The sequence below is a fragment of the Homo sapiens genome, chromosome X (genome assembly GCF_000001405.40).
Source record: "Homo sapiens chromosome X, GRCh38.p14 Primary Assembly".
Lineage (NCBI taxonomy): Eukaryota > Metazoa > Chordata > Mammalia > Primates > Hominidae > Homo > Homo sapiens.
In genome coordinates this window covers 40,315,112-40,335,364 of record NC_000023.11, presented here as the reverse complement: position 1 = coordinate 40,335,364, position 20,253 = coordinate 40,315,112, and the positions used below count along the sequence as shown (strand labels likewise).

Genomic DNA, 20,253 nt, shown 5'->3' with positions numbered 1-20,253 from the left:
AAAGCTTTTAGAGGAAAACATTTTCATGAATTGGTGTGGGCAATATTTTTTTTTTTTTTGAGACAGTCTCACTCTGTTGCCCAGGCTGGAGTGCAGTGGCATGATCTCGGCTCACTGCAACCTCCACCTCCTGGGTTCAAGCGATTCTCCTGCCTCAGCCTCCTGAGTAGCTGGGATTACAGGTGCATGCCACCATACCTGGCTAATTTTTGTATTTTTAGTAAAGATGGGGTTTCACCATGTTGGTCAGGCTGGTCTCGAGCTCCTGATCTCATGATCTGCCCACCTTAGCCTCCCAAAGTGCTGGGATTACAGGCATGAGCCACCACGCCCGGCCAGAGCCAAGATTTTAAAGATCCTCTGCATGGAGTTAAAACAAAACTGGGCCAGGCGAGGTGGCTCACGCCTGTAATCCCAGCACTTTGGGAGGCCAAGGTGGGCGGATCACGAGGTCAGGAGATCGAGACCCTCTTGGCTAACATAGTGAAACCCCATCTCTACTAAAAATACAAAAGATTAGCCAGGTGTGGTGGCGGGTGCCTGTAGTCCCAGCTACTCGGGAGGCTGAGGCAGGAGAATGGCGTGAACCCAGGAGGCGGAGCTTGCAGTGAGCTGAGATTGCGCCACTGCACTCCAGCCTGGGCAACAGAGCGAGACTCCGTCTGAAAAAAAAAAAAAACAAAAACTGGTGCACCAAATGGAAAAAATTAAAACTGTATCCCAAGCTAACACCACCAATAAACTGGGGAGTCTGTAGACTGAAGAACTAAAAGTGAAAGTGAAAACTATAAAGTTAATAGGAGAAACTGTAAAAGAATATCTTTGTGATCTCTATTGGCAGAGAAAGACTACTTAAATAAAACTTCAAAGGCAAAGACCATTAGGTGAAAAGGGAAATGTATTTACTTCAAAATTAAGGATTTCTGTTTATTGAAGCACACCACAGACAAAGGGAATAGATGTATGCCCAAAATGGAAGAAAATGTTTTCAATCTCTAAAACAAGAAATGAGCATGTCAAATATGTGAGAAACACCTGCAAATCAACATGAAGCAAAACAGCATCCCCGGTAGAAAACTGGGCAAAGAATATGAACAGGCAGTTTAGAGAGAGACACCCACCTGCAAAGGTGCTCAAACTTATTTGCAATCAGGGAGATGCAAATTAAAACAAAAATGAGATATCACTTTTTTATATTAGACTGCAAAAGTTAGCTGTATAATGCCAAGTGCTGGGGAGCTATAGGGCTATAAAAAGCCCTCTGGCATTGCAGGTAGGAGTGTAGACTAGTGCAGCCATTCTGGAGAAGAAGCTGACATCTCTGACATTAATTAAGTAAACATGTAGTAAATGACCCAGCAATTCACCTCCTGGGTATATATCCCATGAAAATTCAGAGGTCCATGAGGTACATGTAAAAGGTGCTCAGTGCAGTATTTTTTTGTGTGGTGGGTAGCAAAGTGGCATCCATCACTGAGGGGGTGATTAGATAAAACCTGGGGACTGCCCATGATGGAGTAATATGAAGCATTTAGTAGCAATGAGTTAGATATACAAATAGCTACATGAGTGAGTCTTAAAGCTATGCTTAGTGAAAAATCTAAAACCCAGAATGAGATATATAACAGAATATACATAAATTTAAAATATACCAAAGAGTATGGATAAACAAATTGTGGTATATTCATACAACAGAATACTACACAGCAATTTTTTTAATCCCCAAATATTGACACATGCAATAACATGGATGATCTCAAAAGCATTCTATTGAACAAAAGCCAGACACAATAAAGTGTGCGTTATATGACTCTATGTCTATAAAATTCCGGAACAGGCAAAACTAATCTACAGTGGGAAAAGCAGATTAGTGTTGCTTAGAGCTAGGGTGGAGAGAAGGGATTGACTGCAAAAGAATACAAGGGAAATCTTGTATTCTTGGTGATGGATCCAAGATCCATCATGGATGAAAATGACCTATATCTTGACTGGTGTGTGGTTAAACGGGTATGTATATTTCTCCAAACTCATCAAACTGTACACTTAAAATGGGTACATGTTATTGTATGTAAATTATACATCAATAATGTTGATTTTAAAAATTAAAAAACATACATGTACACAAAGCAGTACATGTTTACTAAGAGATTTTACATGGGAAAACTGCTAATAAGAGACATTGTGTAGTCACTCTATGTATTAGTCAGCTCAGGCTGCTATAACAAAATACCACAGGCTGGGGGCTTAAGGAACTTACATTTATTTCTCATAGTTCTGGAGGCTGGGAAGTCCAAGGTCAAAGTGCCAGGCAGTTCAGTTCCCTGGTGAGTGCTCTATTCCTGGTTTGCAGACAGCCATCTTCTTGCTGTGTACTCACATGGCAGAGACAGTGTGCTCTGGTCTTCCTCTTCTCATAAGAACATTAATCCCATCATGGGGGGGTCCCATCCTCAAGATGTCATCTAAACCTAATCACCTCCCAAAGGCCCCACCTCGTAATAACATCTCAATGGAGACTGGGGCTTCAATATATGAATTTTGAAGGGACAGAAACATTTAGTACATAATATTCTAGAACTAGAACACAGCTAGTAAAGAAAAACTTTACCTTCACACCTGGCTAGCCATGAAACCTGTGTTTATTTAACTCCTGCCCTCCCCAACTGCCCCGCCCTGCCATCAGTTTCTGGCCCCAGCCTGGTGGATTTGAGGATTGTGATGCCTCAGGAGGATCAGAAACCTGCCCTCCATCCCCTTGAAGCTTCCACATGAGTGTAGGCATTGCCTGGAGACAAGGGTAGAATAATAGGACTGGTTTTGCAGAGGTTGAGTGGGACCCACACCTTCCCTGAGTTCCCACCAGCAGGATCTCCTGCCTTTGACCCAAAAAGCTGCTCCTTTAATTGTTGTGCCTCCTGGGGCTGTGACATCACTAATGAGACCTAGCCTTGGCTCGCCCTGCATGCCCAGAGTTCAAGTTTATCAAGAGGTTCTGTCAGGTCAACCTGCAGGAGTTGCTGAACGTGCTTGCATAGCTCCTAAGCATCAAAGCCCTCTCCAAACTGCTAACCCCATCTGGGATGTTTCCATTTCTGAACAAGGCCAAAGTCTTCTGACTCCAAGCCCAGCATCCTTTACTTTACCCAACAGAAACCTCCCTGTATCGAGGAAGACAATTTCCAGGATACAGACTGACACTGAACAGCAGAACAGCTTCAAGCACAAGCCTTGAAGCTAGAGGTGAGATGAAATTTCAGCTGGCCAGGCTTCGGCAAGTTTCTTAATCTCTCTGAGTGTTAAGAGAAAAATGAAATCATCCATTAATGGAGAAAAAAATGAAGACTATGAGCAAACGAATCCCATTCAGGGAACCTGTTTAGAAGAAGGAAGCAAAACTGCTTTGTCATTATGGAACCTCAAACCTAATCAGCTATTTGGGGGTCTGTATTAGGGTTCTCCAGAGAAACAGAACCAAAAGGATGTACACACACACACACAAACACACACACGTGTGTGCGTGTATATATGTATAAATACATGGATATATCTATACACATATACTATATATATATACACGCATATATATATACACATATACCTATGTATACACACACACATAGAGCAAGAGAGAGAGATTATAAGGGATTGGTTCACATGATTATGGAGGCCAGCAAGTCCAAAATCTGCAGTGTGGGCTGGTAGGCAGAGACTGGGGAGAGCTGAAGCTGCAGATGAAGTCTGAAGGCAGTGTATTCTGGAGAATTCCTCTTGCTCAGGGAGGCTGGTCTTTTTGCTCCTTTCTGGCCTTCAACTGATTGAACGAGGCCCACCCACACTATGGATCTGTTCATCAATTTCAATGTTAATCGGTTCATCAATTTCAACGTTAATTTTATCCCAAAACACCCTCCAAGTTGACACATAAAATTAACCATCACGGCATCTGCATAAGAAAGAATGTGCTGGCAGAGGGGTCTGTTTAAGAAGAATGTGCGTGGCATTTATAAAAGGAAATCAGAGAGACCACGTGTGTCTTGGCCAGCACTGCTCAGGGAAGCCGACCCCCTGACCTCTAAAATACTTGGGCTTGTCTGGGGAGGCAGATGGAAATAGATAACTCAGGCATTGAACCTAAAGCTATCTCATCCTCCTGCCTTGACTAATCTCACACTCACTGAGCTGACTTCTGCCCTGTTTGGCTTTCCTTATAGCTTTGCCTAGAAATAGAATTGCCAGATTTAGCAAATAAAATATAGCACTTATGCTAAAAAAAAAAAAAAGTATTCATTGTTTATCTGAAATGCAAATTGAACTGGATAGCCTGTATTTTATCTGGCAACTCAACCTACAGGGAAGGTTTGCTGACAACCGAGTGGCAGAATTTGGTCCTCCTGATGTTTTCAGAAAAGTACCCAGTACCAACCGGCCGACCCCTATAGGTACACTCTGCACATATTGCAGTCACCTGTTTACTGTTCATCTCCCAGGCTGTGAGCCACTTGAGAGCAAAGACTGTGCCTTGTTTACCACTGAATCACAGTGGCACCTGGTATAAACAGTACTTGTTACAGTCTCTGCAGTTTTTTTTTGTTTTTTGTTTTTGTTTGTTTTTGTTCTTGTTGTTTGTTTGGTTGGTTGGTTTTTTTTTGTTTTTTTTGTTTTTTTGTTGTTTTTTTTTTTTGAGGAGGACTCTCGCTCTGTCACCGAGGCTGGAGTGCAGTGGCGTGATCTCGGCTCACCGCAACCTCTGCCTCCCAGGTTCAAGCAATTCTCTTGCCTCACCCTTCCAAGTAGCTGGGATTACTGGCATGTGCCACCACATCCAGCTAATTTTTGTATTTTTAGTAGAAACAGGGTTTTGCCATGTTGGCCAGGCTGGTCTTGAACTCCTGACCTCAGGTGATCCACCCACCTCAGCCTCCCAAAGTGCTGGGATTACAGGCGTGAGCCACCACGCCCGACCTCTGCATTTGATTTTTGAAGTAATTCCACCTGAACAGTGTGATATCATGTCTGTGTCAGCTAAAACTCCAATTCCAGGGGCAGTCAGTCATTTGCCTTCACCAAAAATCCCCTCTCCAGCTAGTCAGCTGGCTTTATATCAGAAAGACCATATCCAAATACAAGATCACAAAGGCTCCATCAATACCCGAGGCTTTGCTAATTAGCAAAGTGAAAGTCAAAAATGGGTTTTCATTGATGAAATTGGTGGCTTGTTAATTAGCATGACGAATGTTAGAAATAGACTCTTGTTGGTGAAGTTAGAGGTATTCAGGGTCTATGGGTTTACTTGAATATATTGGAGATGCTACTCTCCACCTTTAGATAAAGAGATTATCAGAATCTAGCAAGGTCTGTGCCCTGCACCTTAGAGATGGCACCTGAGGCTTGATTCAACCTTTAGTTTTAGAGGATTTCTGGTTCTCTGATGCTTCTGGAATGTTGCATCCACCTTCAGTGACCTTTCATGCAAGGGTAAGCTGAGAGCTGGGACTTCCTCAAGCCTAGAGAAAAGGTTGCATCAATTGCGTTTGTGCCAGATTGCTAACGAATGCTTGCTTAATAAATGTGGTAGAGTTTGGTCAGATATTTGCTTTTGTGTGAGCTGGTGGTGAGGTTTCTGGGGGTGGTTAGCTAATCCTCACTCACCTCAAGACTCTTTGGAGATGTATCAGTTATTAAGAGATTTTTTCTTTTCTTTTCTTTTCTTTTCTTTTCTTTTTTTTTTTTTTTTTGAGACTCAGTTTCACTGTCTCTCAGGCTGGAGTACTGTGGCGTGATCTCGCTCACTGCAACCTCTGCCTCCTGGGTTCAGGTGATTCTCATGCCTTAGCCTCCCAAGTAGCTGGGATTTCAGGCCTGCACCACCACGCCCGGCTAATTTTTGTATTATTAATAGAGACGGGATTTCACCATATTGGCCAGGCTGGTCTCGAACTCCTAACCTCAAGTGATCCGCCGGCCTTGGCCTCCCAAAGTGCTGGGATTACAGGCGTGAGCCACCGCGCCCAGCCAATTATTAAGAGATCATCTCTCAGCTCCAAACCCACCCTTCTTTATGATGCTAGGGCTGGGACTTAAACCACCTTTCTGCTTTGCCAGCTGCTCCCTCTTGTGCTCTGCCTGTAGGAAGCGCTAGAGAGAGACTCAAGGCTAGAGGAGGGAGAAGGGAGTTGTTTTTTTCCTTTGGGCTTCTGCTGGCTTCCCAGTGGCTTCTTCCCTTAGCTTTCTAATCCTGTGAGTGGCATCCCTCACACCATGCTTCTTCACTATGGCAGCAGCAGTCCCTTCCTGTAGCAGCAGCTGAATCCGGTTTGCAATGCCCACAGAACCAACCTCATCATCTCCTACCCCACAGATGCCAGCTGGCCAGCTCATCCTCCTTAGAGGTCTGGATTCCACCTCCGTGGGGCCCCTCCTCTGAGCTCAGAGACACCAGCACTAGCCAGCAGGTGCCCCTTCCTCAGGCTTCTGAGTTTCAGCCCCATGCGATCACTCCTCCAAGCTTCTAGGTTTTAATAATTCCAACTTTTCCCCCTTTGTCCCTCAGAGGTGGTAGCTGCTTCCAGAAATTGCTACCTTCATGATACCACAGAGTTCTCTTTTTTGCTTTTTGAGTTCTTCGATAACTAGTTAATGATTCCTTATACTTAGCTAACCATTCTCTATATTAAATTCTCTCTGTTAAAACAACCACTGTGGTTTTTGTCTCCTGCCTCATACAGGAGGCTATATTACCTTCTAGAAAGAACTTTAGGGTTATGCATGACCAATTTGGCTTAGGTCAGCAATCAATAAATATTTATGGGATAAATAAATGAATAAACGACTGAATTTCTTGCTGTAAGTTAATAATGACTTCCTGAGTTTTTAATACCAGTCTCGTGATTTTAATTAACGTGAGTCAGTCCCCAGAGTGTCCTTGTTTCTTTTTTTTTTCTTTTTGTGGAGGTGGTCCTGCTATGTTGCCCAGGCTGGGTTCAAGCCATCCTCTAGCCTCTGCCACCCTAAGTGTTGCAATTACAGGTGTGAGCTACCACCCCCGCCCTCTTGTTTCTGAAAGAGAGTAACAATCAGGCCTAGAAAGAATAAGATACAGAAAGTTGAAAGGGGAATAATAAGTATCCAACCCCGGCCACAGCAGGGGTAAACGCACCCACTAGAGTCCTCCTCCAGCTATTTTCAGAGTTAAATCAGCTCTGCCCTGGAGACTTCTCGCTTAACCTAAAAGTCCACTTCCACTTCCCTCTGACCCAGACATCTCACTCTTCAAACCACCTGGGCTTTCCTGGGGGAGGTGAGGCACCTTTGTTTCTTAACCCTCCACTCTATCCATGCACAAATAGTTAACAGCTACAGATATTTAACATCCCCAGAAAGCATCACTCATTCAAAGGGAGAGGCTAGCAGATAATGGAGAAACTGCAGAACAGCCCCAGGTTCAAAACCATGACTCCAAAGCCAACTAAGGCCCCAGTCCAGGCTCTACACCTCTGCCTTGTTCCCAGAGAGCCCTGTTTCAGTCTTGGCTCTGTGCATTCGTTTACACTCTTGGACAAAACATTCCATCTTCCACCCCTTTGGCAACAGTTATTTGGGCATGGACACCAGGCCTTCTGCTGACTGCTGGGACTACAAAGTTACACAGTCTCTGCTCCCATGGAGCTCACGGCAAAAACAAAGAGAGAAGAGGTGCATTGATCACACACTGAAAAAGCCAGAGGTCCCCATAATTTCTTGTTGTCTGTGTTACACCTGCATTCCCCTGGCTATTTCTGTGCTGTTTTTGACCACCCCTGGCTTCAGTGTGCCTTTGTTTCCAAAACCTGTAACTTATTTGGAGGCCTGCCCATGCCTACTGGAGCAACTTTATTGAGGAGAGCTGAAAATGTCTGGAAATGTATGCTTCCCCAGGACAAAGCAGTCCTTAGCCAATGGCTGGTGGATGGAGGAGTATGAAAGCCCAGCTCCCTTGCCTATGCATGGGACCCCTCTGACCTGTAACTCACACTCCAGAGCTCCTCCACTCCCAAGTCAGGCTGAGGCTACCCCCTGCGAGACTATCTGAGATGGAATGCTTGCTTGGGTGCTTCCCCAGCCTAGGCCACCCATTCATCTGTCTCAAGTCTGGAGCACCTGGGTGGAGGATTACCAGCTGACTTCCACAGGGACCCTCCTCTGTGTCAACTGAGGGAGGAACTGTCAAATTCCAGATGGGAATCCCCCAACCCCCTCTGGCTGGTGTATTTATATACCAACTCCCAGGCAGCTCTGAGAGCAAAAGAAGAGATTGCTGGTGTGCCCACAGCTCAAAGTCATGACAGATTCCCCTCCTCCCATTCAGTGCCCACGATCATCCATAAGCACTGAGGGGCCTCCACCAGCAACTCTCCCAAGCCCTCAGTCCTGGACCTCTCTGCCTTCTCCTACAACTGTTTCACCCCCATAGGTGACTCCAGAACAAATCACGTATTAGTTCAGCTTAAGGGACTAGGGGCCATTACGGTTCCCAGGAAAATTCAACAGGGAGCTTTCAGTGTGTGAATCCAAAGGAATTAGATAGGTGATTTACCTCCCACCTGCTAAGCAAATACCGCAGATAGTTCCTGTAGCAGACAGTATTGTTGGGCCCATATCTCCAAGGCCCACCCAGAGGGAGGAAAGTTACCTGCGGACATTCCTGTACTTGCCAATGACTTCTGAGTTCCAGTTTCCACTTAGAAACTGGGGACCTTGGGAAAATCCCTATATTTATCTAAATTTCAGTCTCCACAGCAGAAAAATGGGAATAAGAACGCCCACCTTGCAGGGCTATTGTTGAGGAGTAAATCTGATGTCATATGGAGAAATACTTAGACTATGAAGCATTGTCCAGATATTATTACATGGCAGAGAGGAGTGGACAGTGGGATAAACAATGGAGTGCAGTCAGAAAAGCACAAAGTCTGTTGAGGTGACAGTGAATCAGGGAATCAGGATGACAAAGCATGGAATCTATGAGTGATGATTAATTTTATGTGTCAGCTTGACCGGACTAAGGGGATGTTCACATAGCTAATAAGATATTGTTTCTGGGTGCGTCTGTGAGAGTTTCTGGAAGAGATTACCATTTGAATCAGCAGGCTGAGTAAAAATCACCCTCACCAATGTCGGTGGGTGATAGAGTTTGGATGAGTGTACCTGCTCAAATCTCACATTGAAATGTAATCCACAATGTTGGAGGTGGGGCCTGGTGGGAGGTAAACCATCCCCCTTGGTACTGTCCTCCTGACAGAAGATCTGGTCATTTAAAAGTGTGTGGTACCCCCTCTCCCCTCTCTTGCTCCTGCTCTAGGCATGTGACATGCCTGCTCCCCCTTTGCCTTCTACCACGATTGGAACTTTCCTGAGGCCTCCCTAGAAGCCAAGCAGATAGCAGCATCATGCTTCCTGTACAGCCTGCAGAACCGTGAGCCAATTAAACCTCTTTTCTTTATAAATTACCCAGTCACAGGTATTTCTTTATAGCAATACAAGAATACTCTAATACAGTGGGTATCATCCAGTCCATTGAGAGCCTGAATAGAACAAAAAGGAGGAGGAAGAGCGAATTAACTCTCTCTGTCCTTGAGCTGGGACATCCCTCTTCTCCTGCCCTTGAACATCAGCACTTCATCTCCATAAATGTATCTCCTATTGGATCTGCTTTTCTGGAAAATCCTGATTAATACACCATGGAAGATTCTGCAAGTTAGACTCTCCAGAAGCAGATGATGGGATGGCTTTTGAGATGCAAGATGTTTATTAGAGATCAAATTCTGTGAGGAAAAAAAGAAATGGGAGAAGGCAAGATAGGGCTGACTGAGAAGCTGAACTGTAATGCAAACCCGCATAGCTTCGGCCAACCCAGTGGAGAGCTCTGGAGCAGGGATCGGCCACCAGAGGTTTCCTGCAATTGGCTGAAATGGCCAGACTCTTACACCCTTTTATGATTTCTGCTAAAGCAGTCGCCAGGTGTGGGTTGCCCTGAGGAGGCCGTGGCCTGGAGTGAGGTGGCTCTCTGCAGCTGAGGCAGACCGGTATTGCTGGCAGCTGGGAGCTATCTGCTCTCTGCACACTCCATGAATGGACAACAAAAACTTTCTTGGAATCTCGCTCTGTTGCCCAGGCTGGAGTACAGTGGCACGATCTCGGGTCACTGCAACCTCCGCTACCCGGGTTCAAGAAATTCTCCTGCCTCAGCCTCCTGAGTAACTGGGATTACAGGCATGCACCACCATGCCTGGCTAAGTTTTGTATTTTTTTTTTTTAGTAGAGGCGGGGTTTCACCATGTTGGCCAGGCTGGTCTCGAACTCCTGACCTCAAGTGATCCGCCCACCTCAGCTTCCCAAAGTGAACTTTATTGAATGCAGATTTGGTGACACATCTCTGTGTCTACCACAAGAGGGATAAGGGATAATACCAGAAAAATTGTCATCATAACCATTAATTAATTCAGTTATTCACTCAAAAAGACAGACACAGCCAGACAACAAACTATCATCAAAGACTTACTTTGTGTCAGGGATTAAACTCAGTGCTGTGGAAAGATGCAAAGACAGTAAGACAGGTACCTCCATGGTTTGGATTTCCCCAGAGCAGATCCTGTGATAAGAGGATGAGTGCTGGCGGCCAGGCACAGTGGCTCACGCCTGTAATCCCAGCACTTTGGGAGGCCGAGACGGGTGGATCATGAGGTCAGGAGATCAAGACCATCCTGGCTAACACGGTGGAACCCCATCTTTACTAAAAATACAAAAAATTAGCCGGGCGTGGTGGTGGGCACCTGTAGTCCCAGCTACTTGGGAGGCTGAGGCAGGAGAATGGCGTGAACCCAGGTGGCAGAGCTTGCAGTGAGCCGAGATTGCGCCACTGCACTCCAGTCTGGGCAACAGAGCGAGACTCCTTCTCAAAAAAAAAAAAAAAAGAAGAAGGATGAGTGCTGGCTTATGGTTTATTTGGGAGGGATAAGAAATACCAGAAGAGAAGTAGGGAAGTGAGACAAGGAAAGGAAGTCAGGCAATAAACGGTGGGCTTTACTGACTACCACTGTGGGCAGTTGGAGCTCATTTCCACAGGTGAACTCTGTGTAATGGCCAAGAGCACATGCCTCAGTGTTACCCACTCAAGGGCAAGGGAGCTGGGGTAGTTATACGCCAACTCCCATCAGTCATTGGTTGAGAGCTGCTCTCAGAAGGCATTAAGCCCCTGGCACTTTCATCCTGCCCCGTGCTGCTAGGTGCAGAAATGGTGAGTGCTGGAAGGATCTGGGGCACTGGCAGTGGGTGCTGCACTCACATTAAGCACTTGACAGCTTTAGGGGGAGACTGATCGTCAGAAAAACAGCCTGACAAATGTAATGACGAGAGGCATGCTTGAAACACAAAGAAGGCCCTAATCTGAGGTACCTTCTCAAAGGGGTGGCTGAACACCTGAGCTGAATCTTTTTTTTTTTTTTTTGAGACGGAGTCTTGCTCCGTTGCCCAAGCTGGAGTGCAGTGGCATGATCTCGGCTCACTGCAACCTCCACCTCCCCGGTTCAAGCAATTCTCCTGCCTCAGCCTCCTGAGTAGCTGGGATTACAGGCACCTGCCACCACGTCTGGCTAATTTTTGTATTTTTAGTAGAGACAGGGTTTCACCATGTTGGCCAGGCTGGTCTTGAACTCCTGACCTCAGGTGATCGGCCCACCTCGGCCTCCCAAAGTGCTGGGATTACAGACTTGAGCCATCGCGCCTGGCCATGATCTGAATCTTAAAAGGCAAGAAAGAATTGTCTTAGAAGAAGGGGCCAGGAAAGAGGCTCTAAGGATTTGATAGCTGGGGTGCTTCAGGAGTTTTCGAGTCATCCAAGGTGGCTGGACATGTCATCTAGCATGTGAAAGAGGAGGAATGGAAGGATAAGGGAAGGAAAAAAGGTGGTGCTAGATCACACAGAGCCCGAGCGCGGCTTTCTTCTTCCTATGGAAGGATTGAGGAGACTTGCTGGGATTGTAAGCACAGGTATGTCATGAATCTGATATACTCTCTAGAGAAATTACTTTAGGTGCAGAGTGAGGAATGGATTCGAGGTGACATCATGAGGACAGGGAGCCCCAGAGAGAAATTGTGAAGGCTGAACACAGGGAAGTGGCCATAGAGAGAAAGAGAACGTGACAGAATCAAGAGAGATGAAGAATGCACAAAGCCTAATGCTAACAGGAAGAGGAGCCCTAGGAAGGCATCTATGCTAGTCTTGGCTTCCCTTGCAGTGTTTTAACCAAACCTCTCAACTTTCTACCACACCTGGAAGGACTATTTACCTGGGTCCAGGATATGGCAAGGAGATTTCCGTAAGTTCTACTACAGCAAGATCACAGCCATCTGTGGGTAATTACCCACAGCCATCTGTGGGTAATTAAGGTGCAAGTACCAGACCTGTGTTATTACCCTGAGAACATTCTATGCCCAGAGTCAAAAGGCCTAATGTCTTCATTTAAATTCATTTTCAATGAGAAGATTCACCACCACTTATTTTTCAAGGTACTCAAAATGTTAGAAACTGTTAGTGGGTTAAAGATAGTCTTTTCAGTTGGTGCTCACTGTATCATTTTTAGCTCCTTTTTTTCTCCATTGACCTTTTGATCCTCATGGCCTGTCTACACTACAGTGTTTGGGTTGCTGTTGCTCTTGTTTTTTTCCTAACAGACTCCAAAGCAACCCATATCTCATTTGGGTAGGGTAGGAAGGAAAGATGGTCATGGTATTCTTATCTTTCCAGTGCTAGACTCTGATATATTGGTAAGATAAAGGCCTCCAAAATAAATACTACGCTGGAAGTTGCATATACCCATTCTTACTTGCATCTCATTGACTGGAACTTAGTCATATGGCTATATCTAGTGGCAAGGAAAGTTGAGAAATGTAATTTTTATTTTAGGTGGCCATTTAACCAGCTAGAAAACTCAGCCTTTCTTTTAAAGAGGAAAAGGGGGAGAAGGGATATTGTGGAGCAACTACAAGTGTCTGCTGTTAGCTATTGCTTCCTAACAAACCACCCCAAAACTTAGTAGCATAAAACAACTACCTTTTTACATCTCACAGTTCTGTGGTTCAGGAATTTGGGGCTGCAATATCTTGACTGGAGCTGGAAAACCCAAAATGGCCACACTGACATGTCTGATGGCTCAGTTGGGGTGGTTCGCATGGCTGGGGCTAACTGGGGTGGCTGGGCCTCTCTCTTTTCATGGGGTCAGCCGGGTTCACTAATATATCTGGGAGCTTGGCTCTCCTCCTAAGTGGCTTCTGTCTCCAGCAGGTTAATCTGAGCTTCTTCACATGGTGGCTGGAAACCCCCCAGGCAAAAGTGGAAGCTACCAGAACTCCTAAGCCCTGGACTTAAATGCCCCCCATCTTCACCCAGGCACAAACACACATGTCACTTCAGCCATATTCTGTTGATCAAAACAGCAGATTCAAACGCTGGAGAAGTAACTCCACCTCATGATGGAAAGAGCTGCAAAGAAACATTGCAAAGGATGTGAACACTGGGAGACATGATTCATTGGGGGCTGTTTTTAAGAACCTACCACACCTGCAACTAGGGGTAACATATTACATTTGATCTGTCATTTTATACCACTTACCACTGTTTCTAAGCCATTCCCACAGAGACTGAGCTTTTCCTCTTGAATTCCACAGTAAATACTGGTGCCTTGATTTGGTTATATGTGCATAGCATGAGGATCTGAAAGAAACCAGGAATTAGGCACAAAATTAAGTCTTGTACTTTTTCTACAGAAACATCTGTCTCTGAATAGCAGCAGTCTGCTTCTAATGTAGGAGGCTGGTAAAAGCATTGTGCCCACCCTTACAGCAACAACAAAAAAGGAAAGACAATCTGCAAATCACAACTTACCTTGAACTTATCAGACAGCCGAAGTCACAGGGCAACCAACTAACCCAAACTCTAAGTAAGAAAAGACAGGTGCCTCCAAGGAGAGTTGGGAATAAACACTTACGGACAACATGGAAGATCAGATGGGTAATTTTAGCAGAGAGAATAAACCTATAAGAAAGAATCAAATGGAAATGCAAGAAATGAAAAACACTAATGTTCCTTGGATGGGCTCATCAAGAGACTGATACAGCTGAGGAAAGAATCAGCAAATTTGAAGATAAGTCAGTGGAAATTATTCAAACTGAAACACAAAGATAAATGAATGGAGGGAAAAAACAGAACAGAGCATCAAAGAGCTGTGGGAAATTATCAAACAGTCTGAAGTACATGTAACTGAAATCCCAGAAGGAGAAGAGCAAACAAGGCAGGAGAAATATTTGAGGGAATAATGGCTAAGAGTTTTCCAAAACTAAATGGCAGACACCAAACCACAGATCCATGAAGCACAGAAAAGACCAAGCAGGGTAAAACAAAAACCAAAAGCAAAACCAAACAAACAAAAATCTGGGTATATCATATTTAAACTGCTGAAAACCAAGAAAGAGAACAATTATAAAGGCAGCCAGAGAAAAAAGGCATATTACATAAAGTAGAACAAAGAATCACGGCATACTTCTCATCAGAAAACATACAAGTCAAAAGACAATAAAGTAACATCTTCAAAATGTTAAACAACAACAAAAGAACACGTCAACCCCAAATTCTATACCCGGCAAAAAATATATTTCAAAAGTGAAAGAGAAATACTCTCTCAAACAAAAATAGAGAATTAATTGCTGGCAGAACTGCTCTATAAGAAATGTTATAGGTAGGAGGAATATGATATGATACAGATACTTGGATCTACACAAATAAATGAAAAGGGCTGGAAATGGAACAAATAAAGGTAAATAAAAATTCCTTTTAAAATGTTTAAATTGCTCTAAAAGATGACTGTCTAAAGTCAGCACAGCAGCAATGCATTGTGTGTTTATAGGATATGTAAATGTACTGTGGGATGGGAGGGAGGAATTAGAAGTACACTCTTACAATGTTTTTATACTACATATGAAATAGTATATTATTATTTGAAGGTAGATATTGATTAATGAAATACGTATATTGTAAACCCTAGAGCAACCCTTTAAAAAGTTTTGAAAGCATTACATAATTTAACATACTGCTCTGGATTGTCTGTGAAAAACTTAGCACCATTTTTTCCTTCTATGATCTTCCATATATCACAGCATCTGGAAGCTGGGGAACTACATTTTCCAGCATTCCTTCCCAAATAGGTTACTAGTTAGATTCTATCAATGAGAAGTATCATTGATTCTCATTATTCACAGTAGTTATGATCTATTCAGTTTTCAAACGTTGAATTAGCAAATACTGAACAATTGCTCCTAGGAGAGATAGGCAGTTAGGTTCCTGCAAGCCTCTGGTCACAATATTTTTGTGAACCAGTCAATATGTAACTTTGTCTTTTGTGTGTTTCTGTTTAAAGACACCTTATTTAATATATATAGTTGGTGCATTAACATTGAACTCACAGCCAACAGCGCTATAACTCATGCTTGAAAAAATCTTTCCTTTTTTTTTTTTTTTTTTTCCTGAGATGGAGTCTTGCTCTGTCACCCAGGCTGGAGTGTGGAGTGCAGTGGCGTGATCTTGGCTTCCTGCAACCTCCACCTCCCAGGTTCAAACGATTCTCGTGCCTCAGCCTCCTGAGTAGCTGGGACTACAGGTGCCTGCCACCACGCCTGGCTAATGTTTGTGTTTCTAGTAGAGATGGGGTTTCACCATGTTGGCCAGGCTGGTCTCGAACTTCTGTCCTCAAGTGATCCACCCGCCTCAGCTTCCCAAAGTGCTGGGATTACAGGCACGAGCTACCACGCCTGGCCAGAACAAAGCTTTTTTTTAACACACAGTTTCTCCATAAGGCACATCATTGCCTTCTCTTATTTAGGAACGCTGAACAGCACTGTAGCACTACACTTGGGGTCCATTTTAAACAGTGAAATCACCAACAAAAAGCACAAAAATGTGAAAAACATGGCAGTAGCCAGACGGCCAAAATAACACTTGTTTACAGTACGAGAGCTCAAACTACCAGGCAGAGAGGTCCCTTATTCAGCTCAGCCGGGAACGTGGGCTTTAGGTGACTCAAGTTTTTTGCAGCTCTTTCCGAGAGTGACTACGAATGGACTGTGAGTATTGATTTTGGGGTTACAAATCAATGTTAGTGAGCAGGTGAATTTGCAAATATGGAACCCACAAATAATGAGGATTGACTGTAGTGGCACAAGACCTGGAAGGCCAGAGAAGCAGAAGCCATGATTATTATTGCTTCTCCTGCAACAGCAGACAGACACAAGGGGCACAGGAAGTACAGCTTTCGCAGCCACCTCCAGGCACTTCCCCGAGAATCAGCTATCTTGGTCCCACAGGCTGGCGGGCTCTTTCTTCACTGTACTTTCTGATGCTCTGGGAGTTGGGAGGAAATCTGAGAGACTTTTGCTCTTCCAGCTCTCCCAACTGGTTTGTAAGTACCTAACCTTCCGTGTTAAATCCCTATTTGAAATTCCAAGTGCCATCTGTTTTCCTGACCAAATCCTGACTAATACACATTCTCTTAGAAAACATACGGCTTGGAGAAGATTGAAATAAATATTAAATGTCCAACTAAGTAGAAGTTGTCACAGCTCAGGATTTGCCCCATAAGGCTGGGTGTGACCTGATTCAAACTCAAGGGCTTTGCCAGTCACTTTAGCCTCTTCATCACAGAGGGGTATGCAGCAACTGAAGAGCTTTGTCTTCAAAAGTGCTGGCCCACTTCCTATTTATATTTTCCAGGGTAAACCCTTATCTGAGCCTGCTAAGACACTGAGACCAGGATTTGTGTGCACATGATTTATGAAGGAAGTGCTTCCAGGACAGACCAGTAAAGAAGTCAAGAAAACAAGACAGGGAAGAGAAGAAGCCAAGCCAGGGCACACACTCAGGGGAGTCCCAGCCTCAGCCTGATCTTGCAGATGGGCTCTGGGGTGTAAATTACACTTACGTGTTCGTCCTGACCCCAGCCAAGGGAGCTGGGTTTTTGTGCTCCCACAGAGTAAGTCACTTGCTAAGGGCCATCCAAATTCCCAGGTGTAGGCAACATGACTCCGTGAGCCCAAGGGCAGGGTTCTGAAGCATTTCACATGGGCAGGCTGTTAGCAGCAAACACAAGGAGGAATCAGGGAAGAGGCACGCAGAAATCGTCAAAAGGAACCAAAGAAGTCTGTGTGAAATACACACGTGTCTTCTCTACCCTTTCTTTCATGAAATAGAGAAAAGGCAGAACAGCAGGGTGATTAAGCCTCAAGACTCGAAAGCTGTGACAGAAACTAAGTTGACCCCTGATACCCATTTTTCTTAATATAGAAGCCCTGATTGGTGGCTGAGTTTGTGGCTGCCCAGAATAGAAACCATATTTCCCAGCCTCCCTAAAACCAATGTGTTGCCAATGTGAGTTGAGAAATTGATTTGGGTATGACTCCCATGAGGTGTGTTCAAAGGAAGGGAGGCCCTTCTTTAATCCCCTTTCCTCCTGCTGCCTGAAGTATGGTCGTCCTGAAGGCTGGAGCATAAGCAGCCATCTTGAACCATGAGGCAGAGATAGGATTGCCAGGTTTAGCAAATAAAAATATTTAATTTTTTAATATTTTACAATTTTAATACTTCATTTAATTTTAAGATTTCATGTTCGGGACCAGCCTGGACAGCATGGTGAAACCCTGTCTCTACTAAAAATACATAAAATTAGCCAGGCATAGTAGGGTGCACCTGCAGTCCCAGCCACTTAGGAGGCTGAGGCGGGAGGATCACCTAAGCCAGGAGGTCAAGGCTGTGGTGAGCCGCAATTATGCCACTACACTCCAGCTCGAGTGATAGAGTGAGACCCCATCTCAAACAAGAACAAAACAATGTCATTTGATTATTTAATATTGCATGGGACACATACTAAAAAAATTATTTGTTATTTATCTGAAATTCACATTCAACTGGCTGTCCTGTATTTTATCTGGCAACCCAAGGCAGAGATCATGTGTTGAAGATGGTAGAGGAACAAGAAAGAAGAACTTGGGTGGCAGATGGTTATGGAGCTGCTGTAATGGAATTAGACTGTATACCTCAAAACATCGTAGGTTTGGGGGCTTTTTTAGAGACAGAGTCTCACTCTGTTAACCAGGCTGGAGTGCAGTGGCACAATCATAGCTCACTGAAGCCTCCAACTCCTGGTCTAAAGTGATCCTCCCTCCTCAGCCTGCCAAGTAGCTGGGACTACAGGCACACACCACAACTGGCTACTTTTTAAATTTTGTAGAGACAGGGTCTCATTATGTTGAGATCACTGGCCTCAAGTGATCCTCCCACCTTGGCCTCCCAAAGTGCTGGGATAATAGGCATGAGCCACCGCACCTGGCCCTGAATCTTTGTTTTTGTAAGAAAGGATGTCTATCTTGTTTATGCCTTACTCAGATTTTTTCTCCTGTCTCTGATAGCTGAACCCAATCTAATAAACACTAGCTCTGCCATGAACTTGTTGGGTGACCCTGGTGATGTGGTTTAGATGGTTTTTGTCCCCTCCAAATCTTATGTTGCAATGTGACCTCTGATGTTGGAGGCGGGCCTGGTGGGAGGTGTTTGGGTCATGGGGAAGGATCCCTCGTGAATGGCTTGGTGCTGTCCTTGCCGTGATGAGTGAGTTCTCACTCTATGAGTTCACACAAGATCTGGTTGTTTAAGAGAGCCTGGCACCTTCCCCCATCTCTCTCTTGCTCCCTCTCTTGCCATGTGATACACCAGCTCCCCCTTTGCTCTCCGCCATGATTGGAAGCTTCCCGAGTCCTCAACAGGAGCAGACACCAGTGCCATGCTTTTCATACAGCCTGCAGAAACGTACTTTTTTTGATAAATTAGCCAGCCTCAGGTATTCCTTTATAGCAATGCAAAACTGACTAACACACTCCAGGAAGTTACCTAACCTCCAAGTTAACATCCATTAAATGGGGGTGATCATAATCCACACCTCAGACGGCTGCTGTGAAAATTAAATGCTGCAAGCACTTCAAGTGGTCAGACATGGCTGGCAGGCCTTGGTAAGTGTTTCCTGTGATTGATTCAGTAGGAGTCCTCCCTCACTTGCAGATATGATCCCCAGCTCACCTCCACTCCTAGCAGCATTACTGGACAGCATCCTGGCTTGCATCTTTGCCCTTGAAAACCACACTCTATCTTCTCCAATGGTCAAACACTTCCTGATTTACTGAACTACCTCTTGGCATCAAGCACTGCCTCCTTAGGAAGTGGCTCCTGAATCTATTTCTTCTCAGTTAGTCTCGTGGGGGTTAAAGAAACACACACACACACACACAAAGAAACTGTGACTGAATGTGCTACATGAAGTCTTTGACGGTCTTTCTGTCTTTGCTTAGAATTAGACATGAGAAAAACCACTAGTGCATTCTCGCCTTCCCTCTAAATTTAGAAATCCGAAAACACTGTTCATTATGTCAGATATTTGGTGCCTTCCTTGTGGGCCTGGAGGTTGAGAATTAAATCTCGACACTTCCTTGCATGAGAAGAGTGTATGGAACATTAGACAGCAATCCCCAGGGACATGAGTACTTATAGGACAAGATTTTTCCTGCAAAGGGGAACCAACCAAACCAGTGTACCATCGCAGGCTTTGCAGCCACTTGCTCTGTCCCCCTCGCTGCCTGCAGGCGTCTGTTTCCAATATTTGTACCAGTTCTATGCATAAGCCCATTCAAAGTCACACAAATTCTGTCCAAAAAGCAAGGAGAGAACCCACCCAGGTCTGACAACTTGTAGCTTTCCTCCTGTCCATGTATTCTAATGGCCTGATTAGCAATTCTATTGTATTTAATTTGCACCCCGGGTAATTCACTGTCAGCCAGAAGAGCCATCATCTTGAAAAATGGCACCAAAATTAAAAACCAATAGTCAAATTTCAGTTGGAATGAGCTCTCCTGGCATAATGATGAAGCTGGATTAACTAGAGTCCAGCCCGCTAAGTGCAAACATTTTAGTTACTAATATGCTGCTGGGGAGTTTGAGCCCTGGCCTTTCTGCAGTGTGGGAAACAAGCAGCCAAGTTAGAAAATTGAGAATGAAAATTGTGTTGGTCCAGTCAAACCGTCAAGTGAAGTGGCTGTTCACCATCTCCTAGCCACTGTAGTGGTTTACTTTATTTTTTTTCTCTCTCTCTCTCTGTTTTGTTTTTGTTTTTGTTTTTTTGAGAGATGGAG

The 20,253-nt window shown here is 44.5% G+C and overlaps 1 long non-coding RNA gene across 3 annotated transcripts in view; it reads right to left on the bottom strand.

Annotated features, from left to right (window-relative positions):
* The window catches only part of LOC105373182 (uncharacterized), an 82,002-nt gene extending 64,678 nt beyond the window's left edge, over positions 1-17,324 (bottom strand). For 2 of the 3 annotated variants that reach the window (XR_001755830.1, XR_001755831.1), the window contains exons 1-2: positions 17,001-17,324; positions 13,644-13,744 (exon numbers count right to left, since the gene is read on the bottom strand). This is a non-coding gene — a long non-coding RNA (uncharacterized LOC105373182). Of the gene's footprint in view, positions 1-12,912; positions 13,514-13,643; positions 13,745-17,000 lie in introns of those variants that run through there. The other variant, XR_949031.3, reaches the window with a different exon arrangement.
* Positions 17,325-20,253: the final 2,929 nt, after the last annotated feature.